General features: G+C 47.0%; 1 long non-coding RNA gene across 1 annotated transcript; it reads left to right on the top strand.

Moving 5' to 3' along the window:
• Window positions 1-697: 697 nt before the first annotated feature.
• Window positions 698-24606, top strand: LOC105375130 (uncharacterized). Its single transcript, XR_007060191.1, has 2 exons — window positions 698-757; window positions 23147-24606. It is a non-coding gene; the product is annotated as an uncharacterized LOC105375130 (long non-coding RNA).
• Window positions 24607-25074: the final 468 nt, after the last annotated feature.

The raw sequence follows: 25074 nt of genomic DNA, 5'->3' as shown, positions 1-25074 counted from the left end.
CTGTAATACCATCACTTTGGGGGTGCTGAGGCAGGTGGATCGCTTGAGCCCAGGAATTTGAGACCAGCCTTGGCAACATAGCAAGACCCTATCTCTACCAAAAAAAAAAAAAAATTAATTAGCTAGGCATGGTGGTGTATATACCTGTGGTCTCACCTACTCAGGAGGCTGAGACAGGAGGATTGCTTGAGCCCAGGAGGTCAAGGCTACAGTGAACCATGATTGCACCACTGTACTCCAGCCTGGGCAATGGAGCAATACCCTGTCTCAAAAATAATAATAATATTCTTCAAAACAAGCATTATTTCTTAATAAATGCAACTTAGTAAACAAAATCTTTGGAAGAACCAGATTCATGAGAACACAATGAAGGGGGCATTTGCCTCACCCCTCCTGAGTGTGGATGTCACCCCTAGCATCCCTCAGTTCTCAGATCCAGGCTTATTTGACGACTCCCCAAGGTCTGGAGATATCCCTCCATGCCAGGTCACCCAAGAACAAGAGCTGAGCAGAAAACAGCTCCTGTTCAGCACAAGATGAATGTTGGTGGACCCCTTCCCCAAAATGAAAAAGGGAGAAGTTAATAGGCTGATAAAACCAAAATCTTGCTCAGAGATTGTTTAGAAACCACTGGGTGGGAGGCGATGGTGGCTGAACGCAGAATGGAAGCTCTGCAGGGTTTCTGTCGGAGGCTGGTGGAGAAAGCTGCTGGCAGCCAGCCCGTGTGCAAGGGGAGCAGAGAGAAGGCTCATTCCAGGTAAATTCCAGTGCTGTCTCCAAAAGGGACAAATGCAGGAGGGTGGGAGAGAAGGTGGCAGAGAAGCTTCATGAAAGGAGACAGGCTGTTCTAACAGGGCTCTGCGCTCGGAGGAGAGAAGTGCTAGGAAGCCTCTCCTCTCTCAATCTCTCTTTTAACCTCTCCCTTTCCCTTCCTCCCTGCTTTCCTCTCTCTCCCTCCCTCTTTCTCTCTCCTCTCCCCCTCCGTCTTTCTGCACCGCCCCTTTCTTCCCTCTCTTCTCCCCCTCCTTCTTCCCTCTCTTCTCCCCCTCCTTCTTCCCTCTCCCTCTCTCTCTCTCCCTCCCTCTTTATCTCTCAACATCCCCCTCTCTTTATCTCTCAACATCCCCCTCTCTCCCTCCCTCCCTCTCCTCTTTCTCTCCCTCCCTCCTCTCTCTCCTTTCTCTTTCCTCTCTCCCCTCCCCTTTCTCATCTCTCCTCTCCCCTCTCCCCCTCCTTCCATGAAAGTGGTAAATTCTAACCTAATCTTTTCTTCTGATAAATGAAGGGTCCAGGTATGGTTGCCAGAAACAGTCAATACAAATATTTATACTAAGAAAAGGTATTTGTTGTTTATTTGATTTAATCCAGTGAACCTCAGCCCAGGGAGCTACAGCCTGCCACAGACACCCCACCTCCCATTCTGTGGTCACTCCCCAGTCTCTGTGGGCTGGATGTGTGTTCCTGCTTAGGACACAGCAGGACACGAAATGGAACAGACAGGAACTCAGCCCCGTGAACTGTCAGCATGACACAGATTCTATTCATTCTGTGCCTCTGTAAAAATCACATTTAAAAAACAATCAAGATAGGCTCCAAAGAGTAAAGATAGGGCTTGAACACCATCTCCTGAGGAGACTTGCCATTGCTAGTTCAGGTTCTCATTACGGTGATTGTGGACGACCAGTCCTCCCCAACTCCATCCCTGTGGTTCCCCACTCTCCTCTTATCCTCCCCTGCCCCACTCCCCTCCTCACCACCAACTCTCTACCACCCACCAGCACCACAGGCTTTTTCCACCTTGCGCCTGGCTTAAAATTGCAGCCCTTCACTGCAACCTTAGTTGACGTCCTGCTAAGGACCCTACGCTTCTAACATCATCGAGACTGCACTCTCACAACTGACTTGGCCTGCCCTCCCCAGCAAGACTTGGAAGGAAGATAGAGATGGTCCCAGACCTGCAGGCCAGTGCCCCAGGTGAGGCTGCAGGCCACTGCAGAATGGGGCTTACATGGAAGACAGGTCTTCGTATCCCATCTTTTTCACGCAGCAGTCACCAAGTGGTCTTTGCGAACTCGATCATTAATTGTTTACTAGGGCGAGTCCATTTCTTTACCCATCCCTGTTGTTGAGCATTCAGATTATTTCCACTTTTACAGGATTTTGATCTTAAATTTTCAAAGGGAGAGAAGAATGGAGTCATCATCATTTAGAATTTATGAGTTACGTGCCCAAGTTTTACCCTTCATGTATTATCATGGCTTGGCATGTTTGGTGATGAGCTGTATGATTTTAATCAAAAGATACATTTTAATAGGCCATCAGTAGAAAGTCCATAGTTCTAATATGAAGCATAAAGGAAAATTGGGGGTGGAGGGGAGACCTCAAGCCATCTGATTAGAAACCATTGGCAATGCACAGAGCGGGATGTGGGGGAAAATTATTTTCTTAAATGTTACCTTCACACGTGTAAAGTTATCGAGGGACAGCGGTACACAGAGAACATCCAAGAGAAAGAGATGCCAGCTTGGGCCACAGGTTGCTCTAATCTGTTCTGACTTGACTCTAGATGTCTCTCTCCAGGTCCCATATCTCTCTATTAAGGTCCTATTTGTGGGGAAAGGCAAGGGAAAGGCAAGATGACTCTTCTTGGGGTAGGGGCAGACACTGAGGGCAGAGGAAATGTGCTGTGGCTTAGTTGAACCAAGAGGGAAGTTGAACTAAGTCAATAATAGCTCAAGATAAAAACTGGAATCCTATCAAAGCATCAAGTCCGAAGGGCAAGATGAGGCTAGACACAGAAAAATAATCAATGTATGATCAGTGAGCTCAGAGGCTGGGAGGGTTCAAGCCAAGATGGCAGGCAGAGTGAGGCGTGGAAGAAGCCTGTGGTTCAGAATGAGCCATGGACAGGGGGTGGATCTCAGAGTGGAGGAGGTGGAGGAGGTCCTGAGTGGAGGAGGTGCTGTCCAGGTTGCAGGGATGGATGTGATGGCTAAAAGGGATCTCTCAAGGCTGGCCACTTTTCACATGGCACTGAGACTCTGTTTCATCCACTGGTGGTCTTTCTTTGTCCATCCCTTCATACATGCTTAAGATTCTTAAGAGAGCTGTCAGTGACGACCTTGCCCACCTTCCTAACACCACCAGCTTTAGTCTCACTCAACTCTCTAGTACAGAACTAGAGAATCATTTCCTTAGATTCAGAAAGGAGTACCTTCCAGAGAAAGGGTCTTCTCCCCCCTTCTCTCCACCTATTCTGAATAATAAATCGAGAAGATAAAAACTAAAGACATTAAAATAAAGTCACTTTGCTGACAAGCTATGAATTGGGAGAGCTAACTGTTTGTGAACAGAAGGGCACAGGGAAATCCATTTGGGGAAATGATTTTCAAAGTTTACTATTTATGGCCTTAAAGTTTTTATTTTCCCAAATTCTAGGAAAAGATTGATCATGGTGAGACAAAAATTTCTTTTGGGAAAGTTGTGAAAAATGTCTTTGTTCCAAAACAAAGCAACAGAGTGTTGTCTAATTTTCCTGGTGGGCAGGTGGAAGACGATGGGTCAAGGATAAGGAGTGATGGTGATGGTGGTTTATGCTGCTGACACGTAGTCTTAAAGATTATAATCAGCTCACTTGGGAGCCCTCGATGGAAGAAAGAGCCAAAGGTAGAGTGAACACATATGATCTATAAATAGGACACATGCTAGAGAAGCAGTGATCTTATCTGGAGGCAGCCTTGCCTCTGTTATTTCATCGATTCTCCCCACGTTAATGGTGTTGCTGGAGCTTACTATTAATCTAATGACTGTGCTTTGGAATAATAATGCTTCACTCCTGCCCTATCTCTCCTATTTGACAGACAGCTTTGATTCATCAGGTAAAGGCCCAAGAGCTGCATCAGTCATTATTAAATAGAAATCAATAAGGTACGTTACATAAAGGAAGCTGCAAGTGTGTGATATGAGGCAGCGTGTTACCTCTGAATTCAGAAATCCATTCCTATTTCTAAGCACCAAAGTTCTAGGGGGCTCTGACCTCTGGAAATGTATGCATATGCTTTGGGCATTAATGCCACTAAGAGGGTGCCTTAATCAAATTTGTGCTGCTTCTCCAGAATACCTGAGACTTGAAAATTTATAAAGAGCAGAAATCTATTGGCTCATGGTTCTAGAGGCTGGGAAGTCCAAGATCAAAGGTCTGCATCTGATGAGGACTTTCTTGCTGCACCATAACATGGCAGAAGGCATCACATGGCAAAAAAGGATGAGAGAGGGGGGAGAGGGAGGTGAAATTGCTTTCATAAAAACCCCACTCCATGATAATAACATTAATTTATGAAGGCAGAGCCCTCATGACATAATCACCTCTTAGAGGTCCTACCTCTCAGCATTGTTGCATTGAGGAATAAGTTTCCAACACATGGACTTTGGGGGACATATTCAATCCAAAGCACAGTTTTTGTGGGTCAGGAATTCATGGGTGGCTTAGCTGGGTGATTCTGGCTTATGTCTCTCATGAGGTGGCAGTCAAGATGCCAGCTGGGCTGCGTCACCTCAAGACTCAACTGAGACAGGGGGATCTGCTTCCAAGAAGGCTCCCTCATAAGGCCAGCAAGTTGGAGTGGTTGTTGGCAAGAGGCCTCAGTTCCTCACCACATCAGCCTCTCCACAGACTACTTGAGCATCCTCACAACATGGTGGCTGGCTTCGTCCAGAGTGAGTGAACCAAGAGAGCAAGGGAGACACTGCAGTCTTTTGTGATCTAGCCTTGGAAGCCACACTCCATCTGTTTCACAATCGCTGTTGTTAAACAGGTCCATCGTATTCAAAGTGGGAGCAGGGATATGCAAAGGCAGAAATACCATGAGGGGAGCATCCTTGGGTGCCATCTTGGGGTGGCTACTATGGTTCTCTGTGAGACTTTGCTTGATATTGTGCCCTCCCTTGGCCACCTTCTCTTCCTGGTCCTGCTTCCCTACTTTCCAATTAGTTTTTCCTAAGAGCAGTTTCTACCAGGGGATTTTCACTTTCACATGAATTCTTCCCCAAAGATCTGCTTCTAGAGAACACAGCCTAAGACATAAAATATAGATGAGCAGCCCACCCATTTTCTGATTAGCCCTCTGGCTTTCTGCTGGAATGGGAGCACTGCTGTGAGCCTCACCCTCCTTGGCTGTGGCCCTGACCCACTCCATGGGGGCTTCATTCTCTCCTTTGTCTCAAAAGTCATTGGCTAGGGCCCCATTAGAATACAGCCACCACCCAGAACCAATGATACCCTTTACCAAACACTCAGCTGACATCACCCCATTTAACATAACTTCCAACTCATCCTTTATAGCAGCTACTATTGTCTTTATTCTACAGGAGAGGAAACTGAGATTTAGGCAAATTAAGTAACATGTACAAGTTTGCATTGCTAGCACCAGAGCCATGACTTGAACCCACATCTGGAAGGTCCAAAGCTCATGACCTTCACTTTCATTGTGTTTGCTTTTTGGTCATTCTCTGCACCTGCTGCCAAGCTGTGTCTGCACGTCTGACTCCCCACCCCCCCCCAACAAAGGATAGAATCAGATGGGGATGGAGCTGATGTTGACCACAATTCTTCGCACAACCATCCATCCAACCCTGTTTTCAGGGTCCTCTCCCACTCCTCACCCACTACTCCTGACTTCCTGCCCCTCCATACCCACAGTGGAAACTCTTAGCATGCATCTGTGCTTCCTGCCTGAACCAGCCCAAAGCTGTGGTCACCCTGGTCAGGGCAGATAGATGGAGTGGTTAACCCCACCCTTTGCCACGTTGCCACCTGGGTTCAGGAAGTCAACATCCCTCATGCCACCAGGCTCCTGGCCTGCCTGTAGCAGATGGAAAGGTATCTTCTTGGTCAAAAGATTTTGCTCCCCTGAAAATGCACTTGAGCCTAAGCAGGTTGGCACTGGGGTTTTTCTTTGAGGACAAGGTCTGAGGGACGGGGAGACAGTGTAGTGTGTGAGCTGCTTCAGGGGAGGAGTCAGTCGAGCCCTCTCCAGTAGGGCAAGTCCAGGCCCTCAGGGGGAGATTAGGGCTTAGAGAAACCAGTCCTGGGGCTATGGAACCTTCTCACTTGTAAAACACAATGGCTCCCAGGGCAGCACACTAATTAGCCAGCTGTTCTGCCTAAATTTGCCTCTTAAATTCAACAGACTCCCACTCCTTGAACGTATCATAAAGCTAGGTTCAATTTTAGAGTTAAACTCCTGGAAAGGAATAGAACATTGCAGCACCTTTCATTCTCCCTCACAGTCATTGCACTTCTGCCTCCCAATTTCTATTACCGTGTCTGAGTCAAGCAGGGGTCATGTGTGTGTCATTTTCTAATTGAACTATAATTAACACACTACAAAATGCGCGGATTTTAGGCATTCCGTTCAGCGAGTTTTGATAATTACATACTCCCAGGTAGCCACTACCCAAACAAAACACAGACCAACTCTGTCTGATAGCAATGGAGCAAGAGCCATACATGTAATTTTAAAGTTTCTAGGAGCCACATTTGGAAAAGTAAAACAAACAAGTGAAAATTACTTTAATATTATATTTTTAACCCAGTGTATTTAAAACATGATTTTAATACAAAATGATAAGAAATTGTTCTCTTTTTTCAGTAACAAGTCTTTGAAACTTTGTGCTTGTTTTATACTTACAGCACATCTCAATTTGGAGGTTAATTTTTAACAGTTAGTGCTGTGGCTAGTGCCTGTAATCCTAGCACTTTGGGAGGCTGAGGTAGGAGGGTTGATTGAGGCTGGGAGTTCAAGACCAGCCTGAACACCACAGTGAGACCTCTTCTCTACGAAAAAATTTAAAATGAGCTGGGCATGGTGATGCACACCTATAGTCCCAGCTTCTCCAGAGGCTGAGGCAGGAGGATTGCTTGAGCCCAGGAGTTCGAGGCTGCAGTGAGCTGTGATCATGCCACTGCACTGCAGCCTGTATGACAGAACAAGACCCTGCCTCTAAGGAAAAATTAAATAAAATTAAAAATTTAGTCTCTCAGTCATACCAGCCACAATTCAAGTCACATTTTATGAGGTTAGTGGCCACCATATCAGATAGCAAAGATTAGATGCCACCATCAGCCCAGAAAGTTCTTTCTCCCCTTTTTCAGTCAATTTCCTCCCTCTCCCCAGGTGACCACTTTCTATCATTACAGATTGCTTTGTTTGTTCTGGGCTTCATATAAATGGGTTTATGCAGCCTATACTCTTGTCTCCTGCTTTGTTTGTTCAGTATAGTTTTTTGTTTGGTTGCTTTGAGACAAGGTCTTGCTTTGTCACCCAGGCTGGAGTGCAGTGGTGCAATCACAGCTCACTGCAGCCTCAACTTCCTGGGCTCAAGAGATCCTCCTGCCTCAGCCTCCCAAGTAGCTGGGATTACAGGCATGCACCACAATGCCTGGTTAATTTTTGTATTTTTTTTGTAGAGATGAGGTTTTACTATGTTGCCCAGGCTGGTCTTGAAGTCCTAGGTTCATGTGATCTGCTCCCTCAGCCTCCCGAAGTGCTGGGATTACAGGCATGAGCCATCGTGCCCAGTCTCAGTATAGTTTTTAAGAACCATCCACATCATTACTCATATCAGTAGTTTTATTGCTGCATAGTATTCCACTGCATAAACATACCACGATGGACCCAGATGCATGGTATCCATCTGGGCTCTTTTCACTCTGGGGTTCTTCTGAACAAGGCTGCTATCCATATCCTAGTGCATGTCATTTTATGAACGTACGTTTTCATTTCTCTTGTCTAAACACCAAAGGGGAATTGCCGAGTCATAGGGTAGGTACGTGTTGCTCTTTGTAATCAGCAGCACTCCAGAGAGACGGTGCCATTCCATGTTCCAAACAGCAGCATGGAGCCGTCCATGTTCCCCACATCTTTGTCAGCATTTGGGACTGTCGATCTTTTAAAATTTAGCCACTGTGTCTACCATGGTGATCACGTTCATTTCCTTGATGACTCAAGACATTGGGAATCTTTCTTTTTTTTTTTTTTTTTTTTTTTGAGACAGAGTCTAGCTCTTTCACCAGGCTGGAGTGCAATGGCATGATCTTGGCTCACTTTAAGCTCTGCCTCCCAGGTTCAAGCGATTCTCCTGCCTCAGCCTCCCGAGTAGCTGGGATTACAGGCACCCACCACCACGCCTGGCTAATTTTTGTATTTTTAGTAGAGATGAGGTTTCACCGTGTTAGGATGGTCTCACTCTCCTGACCTCATGATCCACCCACCTTGGCCTCCCAAAGTGCTGGGACTACAGGTGTGAGCCACCATGCCCGGCTGGGAATCTTTTATGTATTCATTGGCCATTCTTAGATCTTCTGTGAGGGGGCCTGATCAAATCTTCTGTTCATTTTTTAGGAGTTGTTCTCTTCAGGGTTAATTTGTAGGAGTTCTCTACATATTCTGCACAAGTCCTTTGTCAGATACATGTGCTGCCAATATTCTTTCCATTCTGTGGCTTATTTTAATTTTTTTGAAACAGGTTCTCACTCTGTCCCCTAGGCTGGAGTGTAGTGGTGTGATCACAGCTCACTGTAGCTGCAACCACCTGAGCTCAAGCGATCCTCCCACCGCAACCTTTGGAGTAGCTGGGACTACAGGCATGTGCCACCACACGCAGCTAATTTTTGTATTTTTTGTAGAGATGGGGTCTCACTCTGTTGCACAGGCTGGTCTCAAACTCCTGAGCTCAAGCGATCGTCTACCTCAGCCTTCAAAGTAGCTGGGACTACAGGCATGTGCCACCATCCCCAGATAATTTTTTTATTTTTTGTAGAGATGGGGTTTCACTATGTTGCCCGGGCTGGTCTTGAACTCCTGAGCACAGGCCATCCTCCAGCCTTGGCCTCCCAAAGTTCTGGGATGACAGCCTCTGTGGCTTATCTTCATGATGTCTTTTGAGAAGCATTTTCAAATGCCTGAGTAACAGAGCAAGATCTTATCTCTTTAAAAAATTGCAATTCTCTATTCCCAACGGCCCACTGTTCATCTCTGGTGCCAACATTCCCCTGCAGACAGGGATGGAAGCCAGCACTCCTATTGCAAGTCCTCTCATCCAACGGAATGGGCTCAACAGCAGTGTGGGTTGTGGTGTATTTTTCAGTCAATTCAGTACCGTAGCTACCAGCTTCAACCTTTACAACCTGTTGTCTCACGAAGTGATCTCCTGCCACTCTCTAACCTCATGAAAATGAAATGGGAGCCCCGCAAAAGCAAATAGTTTGAATCTGTTTATAGCTGGTCAAACATGTTTTACTCAAAGACTGGAGTTCAAAAAGTCATTTCTCCTAACAACCAAACAGAAATATTTGCCCATCATTTAAACGTTCTGTAGCTCTCGGGGGTCCGCCTTACCTTAAATTGCTTGTTATGCAAAGTGTTCCAAGATGAAATTTGGCTTCAGTGTTTGGGGACGGGCTTTCGATGGATTTATTAACTGACTCTTTGTGTCTCACCTCCCTGGTATTTCAGGCTCTATCTTCTCCTTGTTATCTTTTATGCGGGGCCAGGACTGGTGGTGATTTTCCCTTTGTGAATCTTGTTTTCAATAGAAACCTCACAGACACACAGAAAACTCCTCAGGTATGTGTGTAGGCAGTGGTATCCCGCCAGCCTCCTGCCTCCCGGCTCTGCAGAGATTGTAATCGTGGAATTACAATAACACTCTGCATCCTCATCACACATTTCATCTGAGATTGCCAAAGGTTTCACTAACTAGTATATGATCTCTTTCATTTTACAAGTGGAGAAATCAAGGCTGGAAGACACTGTTGAGATGTCATGTCAGGGAACGCCTCCTGCCTCCCTGGGCTGGCTCCAGACACAGCCGTCTCTCTGCTCAGATGGATGCAAAGACACCCAGAATTTGTTGTTTTCATATAACGCGTGTCAGGTGTTGCTCTCAGCGCCTTTCACGCATTAACAAAGTTCATCCTTGGCCAGGCGCAGTGGCTTTTGCCTGTAATCCCAGCACTTTGGGAGGCCGAGACGGGCGGATCACCTGAGATCAGGAGTTCAAGACCAGTCTGGCCAACATGGTGAAACCCGGACTCTACTAAAAATACAAAAATAAGCCAGGCATGGTGGCACATGCCTGTAATCCCAGCTATTCAGGAGGTTGAGGCAGGAGAATCGCTTGAACCTGGGAGACGGAGGTTGCAGTGAGCAGAGATCACACCACTGCCCTCCAGCCCTGGTGACAGAGCAAGACTCTGCCTCAAAGAAAAAAAAAATTCATCCTCAATTCAGTTACATCCCTGTGTACAGTGGATAAAATGAGTCACAGGAAGGCTAAGAACATAGCCCAAGGACACAAAGCTATAAGTGCCCAACAGATTCTCCTTGCCTGCTGCCTAGACAGAGCCAACTTATCCAGACAGGGGAATTGCAATAGAGAAAGAGTAATTCACACAGAGCCAGCTGTGTGGGAGACCAGAGTTTTATTATTAAATCAGTCTCCCCAAGAATTCAGGGATCGGAGTTTCTAAGGATAATTTGGTGGGTAGGGGGCCGGTGAATAAGGAGTTCTGACTGGTCAGGAAGGAGATTAAATCATAGGGAGTTGAAGCTGTCTTCCTGCACTGAGTCAGTTCCTGGGTGGGGCCCACAAGACCAGATGAGCCAGTCTATCGATCTGGGTGGTGCCAGCTGATCCATCAAGTGCAGGGTTTGCAAAGTATCTCAAGCGCTGGTCTTGGGTTTTACAATAGTGACGTTATCCCCAAAAACAATTTGGGGAGGCTTAGAATCTTGCAGCCTCCGCCTGTGTGACTCCTAAACCCTTATTTCTAATCTTGTGGCTAATTTGTTAGTCCTACAAAGGCCCTCTCATCCCCAGGCAGGAAGGGGGTTTGTTTTGGGAAAGGGCTGTTATCATCTTTGTTTCAAACTATAAACTAAGTTCCTCCCAAAGGTAGTCCGACCTATGCCCAAGAATGCACACAGACAACTTGGAGGCCACCAGGCAAAGGAAAGTAAATGAGTAGCTTTTTACTGACTATGACAAAGTCACAAGTACACCAAGCCCTAAAAGCCCTCAAGATCACAGAGTGATGGCTGCAGCCCCAGTCACTGGGTTCTCATTCTAAGCAGAAAAGGGAGGGACAGAGGGTGCAAGCCACACTGTTCCCTCTTCACAGGAAAGAGTGTGAGTGTTAGACCAGCTATGTGACTGGTCATTTGTAACCAAAGGACGTCAGAATGAAATGCAGTGGGGGAAGATGGCCATAAAAGCCGGCTGCGTGTTTATTCCATTTTAAAATAAGTACGCGATTTCACACGTGCGACCTAAATCTGTATGCAGAGCAGAATCAACCCCACAAGCAAAAGAGAAAAAAAAAATTGTCTGGACTTCCTCTTGTCTTAGAATGCATCCTCTAAGGATTTTTCTGTAAGGCCAAGTAAAATTACAAGGTTGGTTTTTTTTTTGCAGTGAAGTCACAGAATTACGGTAGCCTAAAGGGCACACGAAAGGCCAGTGATCATTGCCTCCAATTAACATTTGTTAATACCAGGGGAAGAAATGCCGCAGAGGAAGCTTCCAACGGCAGGCGATTTCTCCACCTCAACCCAGTCCAAGTGCACAGAGAAGTAAGGATTCCAGGGACCCTGGCGACCTTGGGAACAGGTGCCAGAATGAGACTGAGAAACCCTGACCCAACCCTTCCTCCTGGAGATTCCTCATCCATGAAATTGTCAGGCTGGAAATGTCTCTGAGACTCTGTGTCTAACCACCTAGAAAACCTTCAGTGTCCTTTGATAGCATTTGATAGAATTTGATAGCATTCAACAAATACGTGAAAACCTCCAATGTACCAGCCTCAGGGTGAGGGCATGTGATGGTGAACACAACAGACCCTGTCCCTAATCTCACAGAGCTTGTGGTCTGGTGGGGAGATGGCTTCTGAGAATACAAGTGTAGCATACATGAGAAACGTGGAACTGATCAACAAGAATCCTGGCTACAGAGGCTCAAACCAAAAGGGGGTTATTTTTCTCACCTAACCAGAAAGGTCGAGTCATAGCTCCCTGTGTTGAATCAGCCACTTGGTAACTTTGAAACCCACATTTCCCTCAAGATCACAGAGTGATGGCTGCAGCTCCAGCCACTGTGCCACTGTGTTCTCATTCTAAGCAGAAAAGGGAGGGACAGAGGGTACAAGCTGCACTGTTCCCTCTTCACAGGAAAGAAAGCATTTTCTCAGAGACTTCCACTGTGTCCCAGGGCCACCCCAGCTGCAAGACAGGTTGGGAGAGCCAGTATTTAGCTAGGCACATGGCCACCTCAAACAAAACCTTTTAGCAAGGGAGAGGGAATGTGGGGAATGGGTATTTCATAGCCAGCTGTTACAGTTATCTACTGGTATGTAAGAAACCACCCCCAAACATAAGGATATAAAATAATTGTATATGCTCAGAGACTGTGTGGGCCAGAAATTTGGACAGAGCACAGCAGGGATGGCTTGTCTCTCTCCCTGAAGTATGGGGGTTCAGCTGGGGAGGTGATTTGAGGTGGCTTAAATGCCTAGGGTTGGAATCATTGAGAGGTTTCTCTCCTCATGTCTGGCCCCTGGGCTGGAAAGTCTTGAAGACTGACCCCTCCATGTGGCTTGGGCTTCCTCACAATATGGTGGCTGAGAGCCCAGCAGGGGTACTGAGATGGGTGTCCTGAGAGTGTGCATTCCAAGAAATCAGGTGGGCACTGCATGGCCTCTGTTGATCTAGGCTTGGAGTCACATGGCATCACTTCCATCATATTCTATTGCTTACAAGTCCTTAAGACCCAGCCAAGTTAAAAGGGAAAAGAATTAGACTCTACATCTTGATGGGGGAGTGGTCAAGTGAGTGTTATTTTCGGGAGGCTGAGCATGAGAATCACTTGAGCCTAGGAATCGTAGTTTGCAGTGAGCCAAGATCCTGCCACTGCACTCCAGCCTGAGTGACAGAGTAAGACTCCATTTCAAAAGAGAAACAAAAAGTGGCTGGGTGTGGTGGCTCACACCTGTAATCCTAGTACTTTGGGAGGCTGAGTTGGGCAGATTGCTTGAGCTCAGGAGTTTGAGACCAGTCTGGGCAACATGGCAAAACCCTGTCTCTACTAAAAAAAAAAAAAAACCTGGACGTGGTGGCACACACCTGTAATCCCAGCTGCTCAGGAGGCTGAGACACGAGAATCGCTTGAACCTGGGATGCAGACGTTGCAGTGAGCTGAGATCATGCCACTGCACTCCAGCCTGGGCAACAGGGTGAGACTCTCTCAAAAAACAAAACAAACAGATGTGCCAGGTCAGGAGGGCAGGGAAGGGCATGGCCACTGGAGAAATGGAGGCTCCGGTGGCCAGAGTGGGAAGGTCGGGTGGAGTGGGCAGGAAAATGTGGCTTGGGGTGGGCAGAAGCCAGGCCACACAGACCCCTGGGGCCAGAGAAGGGGCTTGGGCTTCATCCCGGGAGCAGCAGGAGATCAGGGCGGGGCTTCCTGCAGGGGAGCAAAGGGATGGATGTTCATGTTAGGAGGCCCATGGGCTGCAGTGGGAGGAGCGGAGGGCGGACACATGAAGGCAGGTAGATAGGGAGGAGGCTGCCACAGGAATTGAAAAGGCATTGGTGTGGGGTGGGGAGAAGCAGACCAGGATGGGGATGAAATTTTAAGGTGAGGTCTCAGGACTTGCTAATTCCCTGAATTGCACTTGCAGAGGGAGAGGAGACAGGAAGGAAAGATGAACCCTGAGTTTGAGCCTGAGCACCTGGGGGCTGATGCATTGGACAGGCCCTTCACAAGAGGCTGGCATGGAGTGGCCTGTTAATAATGGAAGAGACATCTTTCTAAAGTCTTTGTAAAACGCAAATCCAACCAAGTCCTCCCCTGCTTTGAAGCCTCCGTGAGTCCCCTTTGCCCTGCTGAGAAAGGCTGCTCAATTTCCCTAGCCTGACCCATCAAAGCATCCTCCTGATTCCCTGGGATTCCTTCTTCCCACTCCTCCAACCCTATGGAATGACTCCAGAGCACCCAGCAATTCCTCTCTTTCTCAAATCTACATCTTTGCCGGGCCGCTACCCTGGTCTTCTCCTTGCCACTTTTCAGGACTCAGTAGAAAGGTCACTTCCTCTAGTGCCAGGGTCTCTGTTCCATCTCACCACTTCTTATGGGGCTTTTATCTTCGCTTGGACCTGTGAGTTCCCAGAGGCCAGCTTTGTGTCTCCTGCTCACTGCTGTACAGCTAAGTCCTGGGATGGGGTAGCCACTCCGCAAGGCTTTGAAACATCCAATCAACACAGTAAATCCTGGAGATGGGGAAGACACAGGGGTACTAGAGGAGAAGGGTGAGGGATTGGGGTCAGGGTGTGGAGACACCTAATGTAACAAAGTCGTTCGGCTTCTGCAGGAGGCCATTAGCTCTGCACAGCTCCTAGTCTGCTTTCAGTTCCAAAAACTCAAAAGTTGCAGGTTCTTCAGATGACGCTGGGTGATGTTAGGTTTCTGGATGCACCAATCTGACTGGGCTCGACTTGGAAGTTAAGAGTACATAATGTTCCCATTTCTATGAACAGCTCAGAAGGAATCCAAAAAGCAGAAGTCAAAAACAGGGATTGGGAAGTAAGCACCCATACTTGGTAGAAACAGAACTCAAGCTGTTCACTTTTACCATCCCTTTAAAAGCAACAAGAAAATCCTTAGGGAAAAAGATACACATGGTGCCTTCAGCGGCTTCTTCCAGCAATGGGACAGAAAGGCCATGTGGGCACACGGGCTTTGGAGTCAGACTTGCTGGCTATAATTTTCCACTTTAGGCCTCAACGTCCTCATCTGTCAAATGGGAGCAGTGTTGGCTCGGGATGAAATGAGGTGTGTGCTCAGAGCCTGGGGTGACGCACCTGCCTTGACGCGTTTGAATGCAACATGAGCTGCCCTTATTGTGTGGTTCTCACAGTCTCCAGTGACATCAGAGCAACCACAGTGACAACAGTTTCATTTTTCTGTGCACCCACCAGTACCCTGCCATGGGACAATAGTGCGTGAGTAAATGCAGCCAGTTTACAGGCATGCTGGCTCATGCCTGTAATCCCAGCACTTTGGGAGGCCGAGGTGGGAAGATCATTTCAACCCAGGAGTTCAAGACCTGCCAGAGCAACAGAGTGAGACCCCTGTCTCTACAAAAAAAAAAAAAAAAAAAAAAAAATCTCTGCATGTGATAATGCCTGCCTGTGGTCCCAGCTACTCGGGAGGCTGAGGCAGGAGAATCACTTGAGCCCAGGAGATGGAGGCTACAAGGAGATGAGTTCATGCCACTGCACTCCATCCTGGGCAAGAGAGCAAAACCTCATCTCAAAAAAAAAAAAAAAAAAAAAAAAAAAACTAAATTCGCAAAAATAAATAAATAAATGTAGCCAATCACTAAAAAGCTTCCACCTCACCTCTCCCAGCACCGCCCTGGGAGGCACACCTAATATAACAAGTGCCAGCACCGGACGCAGTGGTTCACACCTGTAATCCTAGCACTTTGGGAGGCCAAGGTGGGTGGGTCACCTGAGGTCACGAGTTCGAGACCAGCCTGGCCAACATGGTAAAACCCCGTCTCTACTAAAAATACAAAAATTAGCCAGACATGGTGGCAGGTGCCGGTAATCCCAACTACTTGGGAGGCTGAGGCAGGAGAATTGCTTGAACCTGGGAGGTGGAGGTTGCAGTGAGCTGAGATCATGCCATTGCACTCCAGCCTGGGCAACAACAGTGAAATTCCATCTCAAACAAACAAGTGCCAGGCCCTTACATGATGCTCAATAAACTCTCTGTGCTTTTTTTGTTAGTTTTGTTTTGTTTTGTTTTGAGACGGAGTCTCACTCTGTCGCCCAGGCTAGAGTGCAGTGGCACCATCTCGGCTCACTGCAAGCTCCGCCTCCCGGGTTCACGCCATTCTCCTGCCTCAGCCTCCTGAGTAGCTGGGACTACAGGCGCCCGCCACCATGCCCGGCTAATTTTTTGTATTTTTAGTAAAGACGGGGGTTTCACCGTGTTAGCCAGGATGGTCTCGATCTCCTGACCTTGTGATCCGCCTGCCTCAGCCTCCCAAAGTGCTGGGATTACAGGCGTGAGCCACCGCGCCCGGCCCCCTCTGTGCTTTTAACATTTCCCTTTTGTTGGGGGAAAGTGAGAGTCTCAGAGGCAGGATGGCAGGCTCAGGCAGGAAGATGAGGCCTCAGATAATGTCTTTTCATGTAAGTCTTGTAATGTTGTTTCCTCTCATTAGGGATTGTTTTTGTTCCTACTGGCGCACTTTCCAAGCTGTGTTAAATTTTAAGACCTAGTTAAACTTGTATTTCTTCAGGCTAAGTGGAAACTCTGTAGATTATTTTTTCCAAATTAAAATCATAATAAAACTGATTTGGAAAAAAATAAAACAAGCTCTAGGAAACCCAAACGTATCTGTTTGTCAGTTTTACCATTACAAATGGAATTAAGCCAAACATTTAAGTGGTTTTTCACAGGCCTTCCTTCTGTGGGTCCCCTCTGTGTGTGTATTCTCTGTGCAGAATGTTCTTGGGTATAATTTATCCTCCTCTAATTTATTGGATTATGTCTATATACTGCTGTACTTATTTTAACAAAGAGGTTTTTAAACAAATAGAAGTAAATGTAGATTTAATTTATTTCATCAGGCGAAGAATTCTCGAGAAAATCAATTTTCATTTGCACAGGTATTCTGGTAGTCAGGCACCCCTGTTATTACACGCCTGTTCCTCCTTTGCCGGCGTTTCCATGACAGATAGCTTCGTTTCTCTGCCACGATTCTATTACTTACAGAAAAATATGTTTAAGGAGTATTAAAGGTCTTACTTAAACTGACAAAAGTCACCAAAGCTTGTGTTAAGGTTGACACGGTCTTTAACTTACTCCGGCGAATGGGAACCACTGGGAAATTCACATGCCCGTGGCGGTGTGGCATGTCCATTTTTATTTGCAGCTCTTCCTGTTTTGTTAATTTATAGAAGACCTTTAATGCTATCTAAATGGAAGCATGGATCTCGGCCCAGCATGAGAAGGTCTGACGAGGGATTTTCTCTCTCTTTGCTCGGAAACTGGGCTCTTCAGAAGCCGGGTGTGTCTGGGGTGCCCACCACCAAAGTTCTAAAGTGGATAGAGTTTAGGTCTATGCCGAAATGCTCCAGGTCAGCCCATTGTTTTCCAGCCTCAGAGCTCGTTGACAGACATAAATTAGATCATTCCTTCTATCCTCTGCTTAAAACACTTCTAATGGCTTTCTATTTTCCTTTTTTTTTTTTTTTTTTTGAGACAGGGTCTTGCTCTGTCACCCAGGCTGGAGTGCTGTGGTGCAATCATAGCTCGCTGCAGCCCCGAACTCCTGGGCTCAAGTGAGCCTCTTTCTCTGGGCCACTCCCCTGGTCTTCTCCTTGCCACTTTTCAGGACTCAGTAGAAAGGTCACTTCCTCCAGTGCCAGCGTGTCTGTCCCATCTCACCACTTCCTATGGGGCTTTTATCTTCGCTTGGACCTGTGAGTTCCCAGAGGCCAGCTTTGTGTGTCCTGCTCACTGCTGTACCGCCAAGTCCTGGGGTAGCCACTCTGCAAGGCTTCGGAACGTCCAATCAATGCAGTAAATCCTGGAGAGGGGGAAGACACAGCGGTCCCCTTCCAAGGAGCTGGGACTACAGGTGAGCACCACCTTGCCTAGCTAATTTTTAAGATTTTTTATAGAGTCAGGGTCTTGCTGTGTTGCCCAGGCTGACCTTTCCATTTTCCTTTCTGAACTCCTCCTTCAGCATGTGCTGGAGTCGGCTTGTCCCACATGTTCTGGAGTCGGCTTGCCCCGGTCCTTCAGCGTGTGCTGGAGTCGGCTTGCCCCGGCCCTGCAGTGTTTGCTGGAGTCAGCTTGCCCTGGCTTGTAAGAGCTGAACGTGAACGTGCACATCTCTTCCCAGCTCTGTGTTCAGGGTTGACATTGGCAGCTTGAAGTCGGCTATGACGGGAGTATTTACACCATGGAAATTGACAAACATGACAAATCAGTGCTCCTTCTTTTTTTAGAGCTGGTTGTAACTATTTCCCAGCACACCACTGCCTTAACTCCTACCATTCTCCCCATCACTCTCCACGGTCTAGTCACACTGACCTTCTTTTTGTTCCTTGAACACATCAAACTCTTAATTAGGACTTCTTTTTTTTTTTTTTTTTCTTTTTTTGGAGACAGATTCTTGCTCTGTCGCCCAGGCTGGAGTGCTGTGGCACGATCTCAGCTCACTGCATCTTCCACCTCCCAAGTTCAAGCAATTCTATCTCAGCCACCCGAGTAGCTGGGACTACAGGCTTATGCCACCATGCCTGGCTAATTTTTGTATTTTTTAGTAGAGATGGGGTTTCACCATATTGGTCAGGCTGGTCTCGAACTCCTGACCTTAGGTGATCCATCTGCCTCAGACTCCCAAAGTGCTGGGATTACAGGCGTGAGCCACCATGCCTGGCCAATTAGGACTTTTGTGTCTTCGAATCCTTTAGCATGGAGTACTCCTGCCCCCTGTAATAGATGCTGCCCCCTTTCCATGACCTTCAGTGAACACAGGCTTCCAGAGTCCAACCGCTGGGACCACATTTATACCAGAGAACGTTCTCAGGCCACCATTTGCTACCAGAGTGACAGGGAATGGAGGCGCCCTCCAGCCCCAACCACACCCGTAATTCCTTAGCAAAGGCTTACAGGGACTGGTGGAGAAAAGCCCCAGAGAATGATGGGAGCTACAATTCAAGATGAGATTTGGGTGGGGACACAGCCAAAACATATCAGTCCCTGTTGCTGGAATGCTGGCCGAGAATCCTGGGTTCAAATCCCAGAACCACCGATGAGCTAGTTTCTCCCACAATAATCCTAGCCACTTCCTTGTCCAGATATTTTAAGATGAGAAAAAAGACTGACTCTCTCAGCAACCAAAATCCAAGATGCGTGTTTTACCCGGCACCCTTCAATGACTGCTCCTCTTCCCCCTCATTTCCCACTCCTCCGATGGTGTTTCTTGGGATCCTCTCCCAAATACACTTATTTACACTCCCACTTCCGGCTCAAAGTCTGCTTCTAGGGGAGCCTAAACCAATATACCCCAACCTTCCCTTGCCTGGTTCCTTCTTCTCCTTCGTATCTGAGCTTAACCCTCTGCTGGAAGAAGCTTATGCTGATAGCCAACTACCTCATTGTTCCCCACCCAAACTCCAGTACCTGTAAATGCCAGAGCCTGGTTTTGAACTCAGATCTCTCTGGCTCTCAGACCAAGGACTCTGGAAGCACTATCACTGGAGGCCTTTAAAAGTCAGATTCTTCTTCAATAGTTCTGCAGTGAGGCCCATGAATCCAAAATCCAATGGTCCCCAACCTTTTTGGCACCAGGGACTGGTTTCATGGAAAACAGTTTTTTCCACGGACTGGGGGTGGTTTTAGGGGGATGCTTTGGGGATGATTCAAATGCATTACATTTATCGTGCACTTTCTTTCTATTATTATTACACTGTAATATACAATGAAATAGTTATACTCAACACAATATAGAAACAGTAGGAGACCTGAGCTTATTTTCCTGCAACTAGACAGTCCAATCTGGGGGTGATGAGAGGCAGTGACAAATCATCAGACATTAGATTCTCATAAGGAGTGCACAACCTAGAACTCGCGTGCGCAGTTCACAGTAGGGTTTGAGCTCCTATGAGAATCTAATGCGGCTGCTGATCTGACAGGAGGCAGAGCTCAGGTGGTAATGTGAGGGATGGGGAACGGCTATAACTACAGATGACGTTTCGCTCACTCACCCGCTGGTCACCTCCTGCTGTACGGCCCGGTTCCTAACAGGCCATGGACCAGTTCCAGTCCATGGTCCAGGCACTGGGGATCCCTGCCATAACATACATCTGTATGTGTATGTATATATATATATATATTTTGAGACGGAGTTTTGCTCTTGTCGCCCAGGCTGGAGTGCAATGGTGCGATCTCGGCTCACTGCAACCTCCGCCTCCCGGGTTCAAATGATTCTCCTGCCTCAGCCTCCTGAGTAGCTGGGATTACAGGCTCACACCACCATGCCTGGCAAATTTTTTATATTTTTAGTAGAGATGAGGTTTCACCATGTTGGCCAGGCTGATCTTGAACTCCTGACCCCAGGTGATCCACCTGCCTTGGCCTCCCGAAGTGCTGGGATTACAGGTGTGAGCCACTGCGCCCGGCCCCGGTATATTTTTAATAAGGTTCGCCACGGAATTTTTATTTATGGTAAGTAGTCACAGAAGAAAGTGCTCAGGATGGTTTGATAGCAGAATGTATTCTCTTTGTAATACTACTTTACCATTTATTATATGTTTATTCATTCAGCAAATATTTGTCAAACTGAGGATTCAATGCTTAACAAGACAGGCATGGGGCTTCTGTACACACTTGTTATTTTTATGATTGGAAAATGAATTGATCCTGTTTTAACAGAAATAGAAACATCTGCTGATTGAGTGAGGGAATGACAGCTTTCTGGGCTGTCTGTAGATTGCTTCTATCTGGTGCCCTTCCCAGCAGCCTGGCCTCTCTAGGGCTGCCTTGGCTATCCCTGTAATTCAGGGGTCCGTTAGGTGGGTTTCTCCAGGCCTTCCTACCAGCTGCTCCCTTTGAATGTTACTGAGTATCCCAGGAGAGGAGGCTACACAATCAAGTGACTTCAGGGGCCACTGCACATTGCAGCCTTATCTTGGAGATGATACCATACACATCAGCATATTCAAGGTTCTGATAAGTCCTGCAGCAAGAATGACAAAAAGCCAGAGCAAACACCTGCTTTTCTTTTTTTTCCATCTGTGTCTTATCCAGTGGTGTTTTGTGAGCCCCCAAAAGGAAGGCTTTTTATCTAGTTCCTAATGTACTTGACCATGGAACCTTTTTTCCATGTAGAATCTCCTTCCTTCAATCCCAAAATATCATATATCTACTTTGTGGCAGGCACCATGATGGATCCTGGGAATGATGATAATGAACGCAATAGATACAGCCTCTATTCTTAGACATCTTGCATGTATCAGGGAAGACAGGCACCAAGGCATACTTACAACCAAAGCATTCCACGACCATGTGATCCAGGAGAATTCCAGGGTCAAGAGCCAGGGTATTGGAAGCCAACCTGTCTACAGGTGACCAACACTGAACTTACTTTGGGAAACACTGTTCTAGGGTAAGAGGTCTCATGTATTTTTGGTGGGGAGATCTTTTCATGACTGAAAGACTCAAAAGGCCATTTTTATCCTCTGCCGTTGCATATTCTTCTAGAAGAATGTTTCTGCTTCTGTGAGATGCAAAAAAGCAATGTTCAGATTTGTATTACCTTTATACGCAAATCATTTCACATCAGGAACGAATGCAGCACTTTCAAATTGGGAGTCACAAAAGCCTGCTGAAAGGTGTTTGTGGAGTGCAGGGTGGGAAGGTCCTTGTATTAGTTCATTTTCACACTGCTGATAAAGACATACCCAAGACTGAGTGATTCATAAAGACAAAGAGGTTTAACGGACTCAGTTCCACATGGCTGGGGAGGCCTCACAATCATGGCAGAAGGCAAAAGGCACGTCTTACATGGCAGCAAGCAAGAGAGAATGAGAACCAAGCAAAAGAGGTTCCCCCTTATAAAATCAGACCTCATGACACTGATTCACTACCATGAGAACAGTATGGGGGGAAACCGCCCCCACGATTCAATTATCTCCCGCCGGGTCCTCCCACAACACGTGAGAACGATGGGAGCTACAATTCAAGATGAGATTTGGGTGGGGACACAGCCAAAGCATATCAGTCCCTGTTGCTGGAATGCTGGCCGAGAATCCTGGGTTCATATCCCAGAACCACCAATGAGCTAGTTTCTCCCACAATAATCCTAGCCACTTCCTTGTCCAGATATTTTAAGATGAGAAAAAAAGAAGACTGATTCTTTCAGTGACCAAAATCCACCTGGGTGTACAGGCTACCATCTCTCTGGGGGGACTCGGAGGGGTTTTCTAGCTCTTTCCAGCCTCAGATCCCATCCCAGGAGTACACAGTAAAACCGGACATGGAGTAGGAGGAGGAACCCTGATGATATTCAGGAAAACCCCCTCCTGGTGAGCAGACCGTCTTCAATTCAGTAAACCGAAGACTGATCTTGTCACATTCAGATGTGTAATTAATGCCTGCTACATCGCGAAAAGCATCTATACCAGGTAGACAGTAATTTACTTTCCCATAAAACTTTAACACTTTTGCTAGAAACACTATTTTTTTTTTCACAACACATTGAAAGACTATTATCCAGGCAGCCTCTCTTTCGCAGGGACGTAGGGAGGGAAAATCTTTTAAGGGACTGGCATTCCATATTGGTACTTGAGCGTCTTGGCAGTGGGACGCATCGCCCTCTCACAGGGGTGACTGCCTGACTAATGAGGTCGCCCCCAGCAACATCCACATTTTAGACTGTATTGTGTGAGCTGCCCCAAATTGAGGTGATCTCCTGTCCAGACCAGGCTGTACTTTGGTTATTTACTTGCAATGAGATATCAAGAGACTGAAAGTGGTTTAAAAAAAAAACAAAAATCTCTTCCCTAATATATGGTGTATTATTATTATTATTATTATTATTATTATTATTATTTTGAGATGGAGTCTCACTCTGTTGCCGAGGCTGGAGTGCAATGGCACTATCTCGGCTCACTGCAACCTCAGCCTCCTGGGTTCAAGCGATTCTCCTGCTTCAGCCTCCTGAGTACCTGGGATTACAGGCATGCATAGCCACCCCTGGCTAATTTTGTATTTTTAGTAGAGACGGGGTTTCTCCATGTTGGTCAGGCTGGTCTTGAACTCCTGACATCAGGTGATCCGCCTGCCTCAGCCTCCCAAAGTGCTGGGATTACAGGCGTGAGCCAACACGCCAGGCGTTTCTGTTTGTTTGTTTGTTTTATTTTTAGTAGAGATGGGATTTCACCATGTTGGCCAGGCTTGTCTCAATCCTCTGACCTCAAGTGATCCACCTGCCTTGGCCTCCCAAAGTGCTGGAATTACAGGTGTGAGCCACTGTGCCTGGCCTCACATCTCCTCCTTTTAACAGGATAAACTAAACAGGCCTCAAGAATGTGACCTCCCACGCTCCTCCATGAACAGCTCTCTCCCTGCGTCCCAGCAACCAAAGACACTTGTTGATTTGGGAAAAACCCAGAGGAAGGATTCTGTCTGGATTTTCTGGTACCACTGACGCATTTTCACCCAGGCACATTCATCTGGTTCAAGACTGAATCTTTCCCTTTTTCATGAAACAGATTCTCCCCCTCTTTTAAGCCTCTGTGGGCTCCAGAATGAGTTGAACCGCTGTATCTTCTCATCACAGCGTTTCCCTCTTTGGACATGGGCTGAGACACACAGATTTCACGACTTCCTCTTTGGAGAAGGCATGAAAGGACCTGCAGCCACGGCCCCATACGTTTCAAGAGAGGCAAGGCTTTCACCCTCCGTGTCTTTCACAGCCATCCGCCCACAGCCTCTTAACTTCCTGACATTAAACAAAAACGAAACCGAGGTTTCCCTAATTGGGGATCATCATCAAGAATCTGTCATGGGGTCTCTTAGAAATTAATTCAACTCGATTGTTCTTCAGACCTCCGCTAAGGAGCCGGCGTGTTACTCTCGACACCAACTTGTCCCATCTTCATCCTATATTAGCTCCCTAACAGGGTTGCACGATCAGCTCCTAGGCTGCAAATTAGAAAAATGGGCGATGATTCCAGCAGCTACGCCTCGGCACTCTCACGCCGGATTACTGTGATGGTCTCCTTGCAAGGCTTCCGGATCTTTCTATGTGGGTTGAAATTGGTTCCAACTGTAACTTCCTGTTGATCTCCCACCCTGAATTCCCTCATTGATGCAACATTTTGTTAAAAAAGAACTTCACCGAATTACCCATTTCATGGAAATTGCAATAGGGTATTGACTTGTATAGTTAATGAAGCTTTCAAAAAAGCACTCCTGTAGCCATCATCTAAATGCCCCTCTGGCCACCAAAACTGTGCATGTAATTCACTGTAGTGAGGATTCCTGAGTCTCCCTAAGGGAGATCCAGTAGGATCAGTTCTGGGTGGGATCCGTCAGCAAACACAACCTATTGCCCGCCTCCTTCTGGTTTCCAGTCCCGGGGGGTAATTGATGTCTTAGTGCACACAGAGCCGGACCATGGAGCTAAGTAGATATGGGTTTCCAACTCATCCCGGCCACTTCCCAGGGGCATGTCCAGGGGCAAGTTAGTAACTCTCTTGAACCTCAGTTTCCTCATCTGCAGAGTGTGGATCATCACAAACCTACCTTCTGGGGTTGCTAGGGGATTAAAGGAGATAAGGAGCATAGCAGGGCTGGCCCTGTGCCTGCCTGGAGTGGGCACCAAGCTGACTTCGCTGGGGCTCTCCCGGCCCCACATACCTGCAATGGTTTTGCCTTTGGCTCGATGTCTGAAGCCTTTGCATTTCTGAAGGGAGTGATGTAAATCAAGCCATGCTTATGATTAAAAACATCCAACGTTCAGCTCAGTTGTTTGTCCTATTTTGGCAACATCCTATTCTTTTGTTGTTGCTGTTTTTGAGATAGGATCTTGCTCTGGGGCCCAGACTGGAGTGCAGTGGTACAATCATGGCTCACTGCAGCCTCAACCTCCTGGGCTCAAGTGATCCTCCTGCCTCAGCCTCCCGAGTAGCTGGGACTATAGGTGTTCACCACCATGCCTGGCTAGTTTTTTAATTTTAATAGAGATGAGGTCTCATTATGTTACCCAGACTGATTTCAAACACCCAGGCTCAAGTGATCCTCCCACCTCAGCCTTCCAAAGTGCTGCCATTACAGGTATGAGCCACCACACCTGGCCAACCTTCTCCTCTTATCTGTGGGAAACCTTGGGGCATTACTGAAGAAAAAATTGTGATGTCCAAATCCTGCACTGTACCCCAGTGCAAGGTGGTAGGTGTTGAAGTAGAAAATGATAAGACGTAAATCGTC

Source organism: Homo sapiens, chromosome 7 (assembly GCF_000001405.40).
Source record: "Homo sapiens chromosome 7, GRCh38.p14 Primary Assembly".
In the NCBI taxonomy this organism is placed as follows: Eukaryota; Metazoa; Chordata; class Mammalia; order Primates; family Hominidae; genus Homo; species Homo sapiens.
This window is presented reverse-complemented; position numbering and strand designations above follow the sequence as displayed.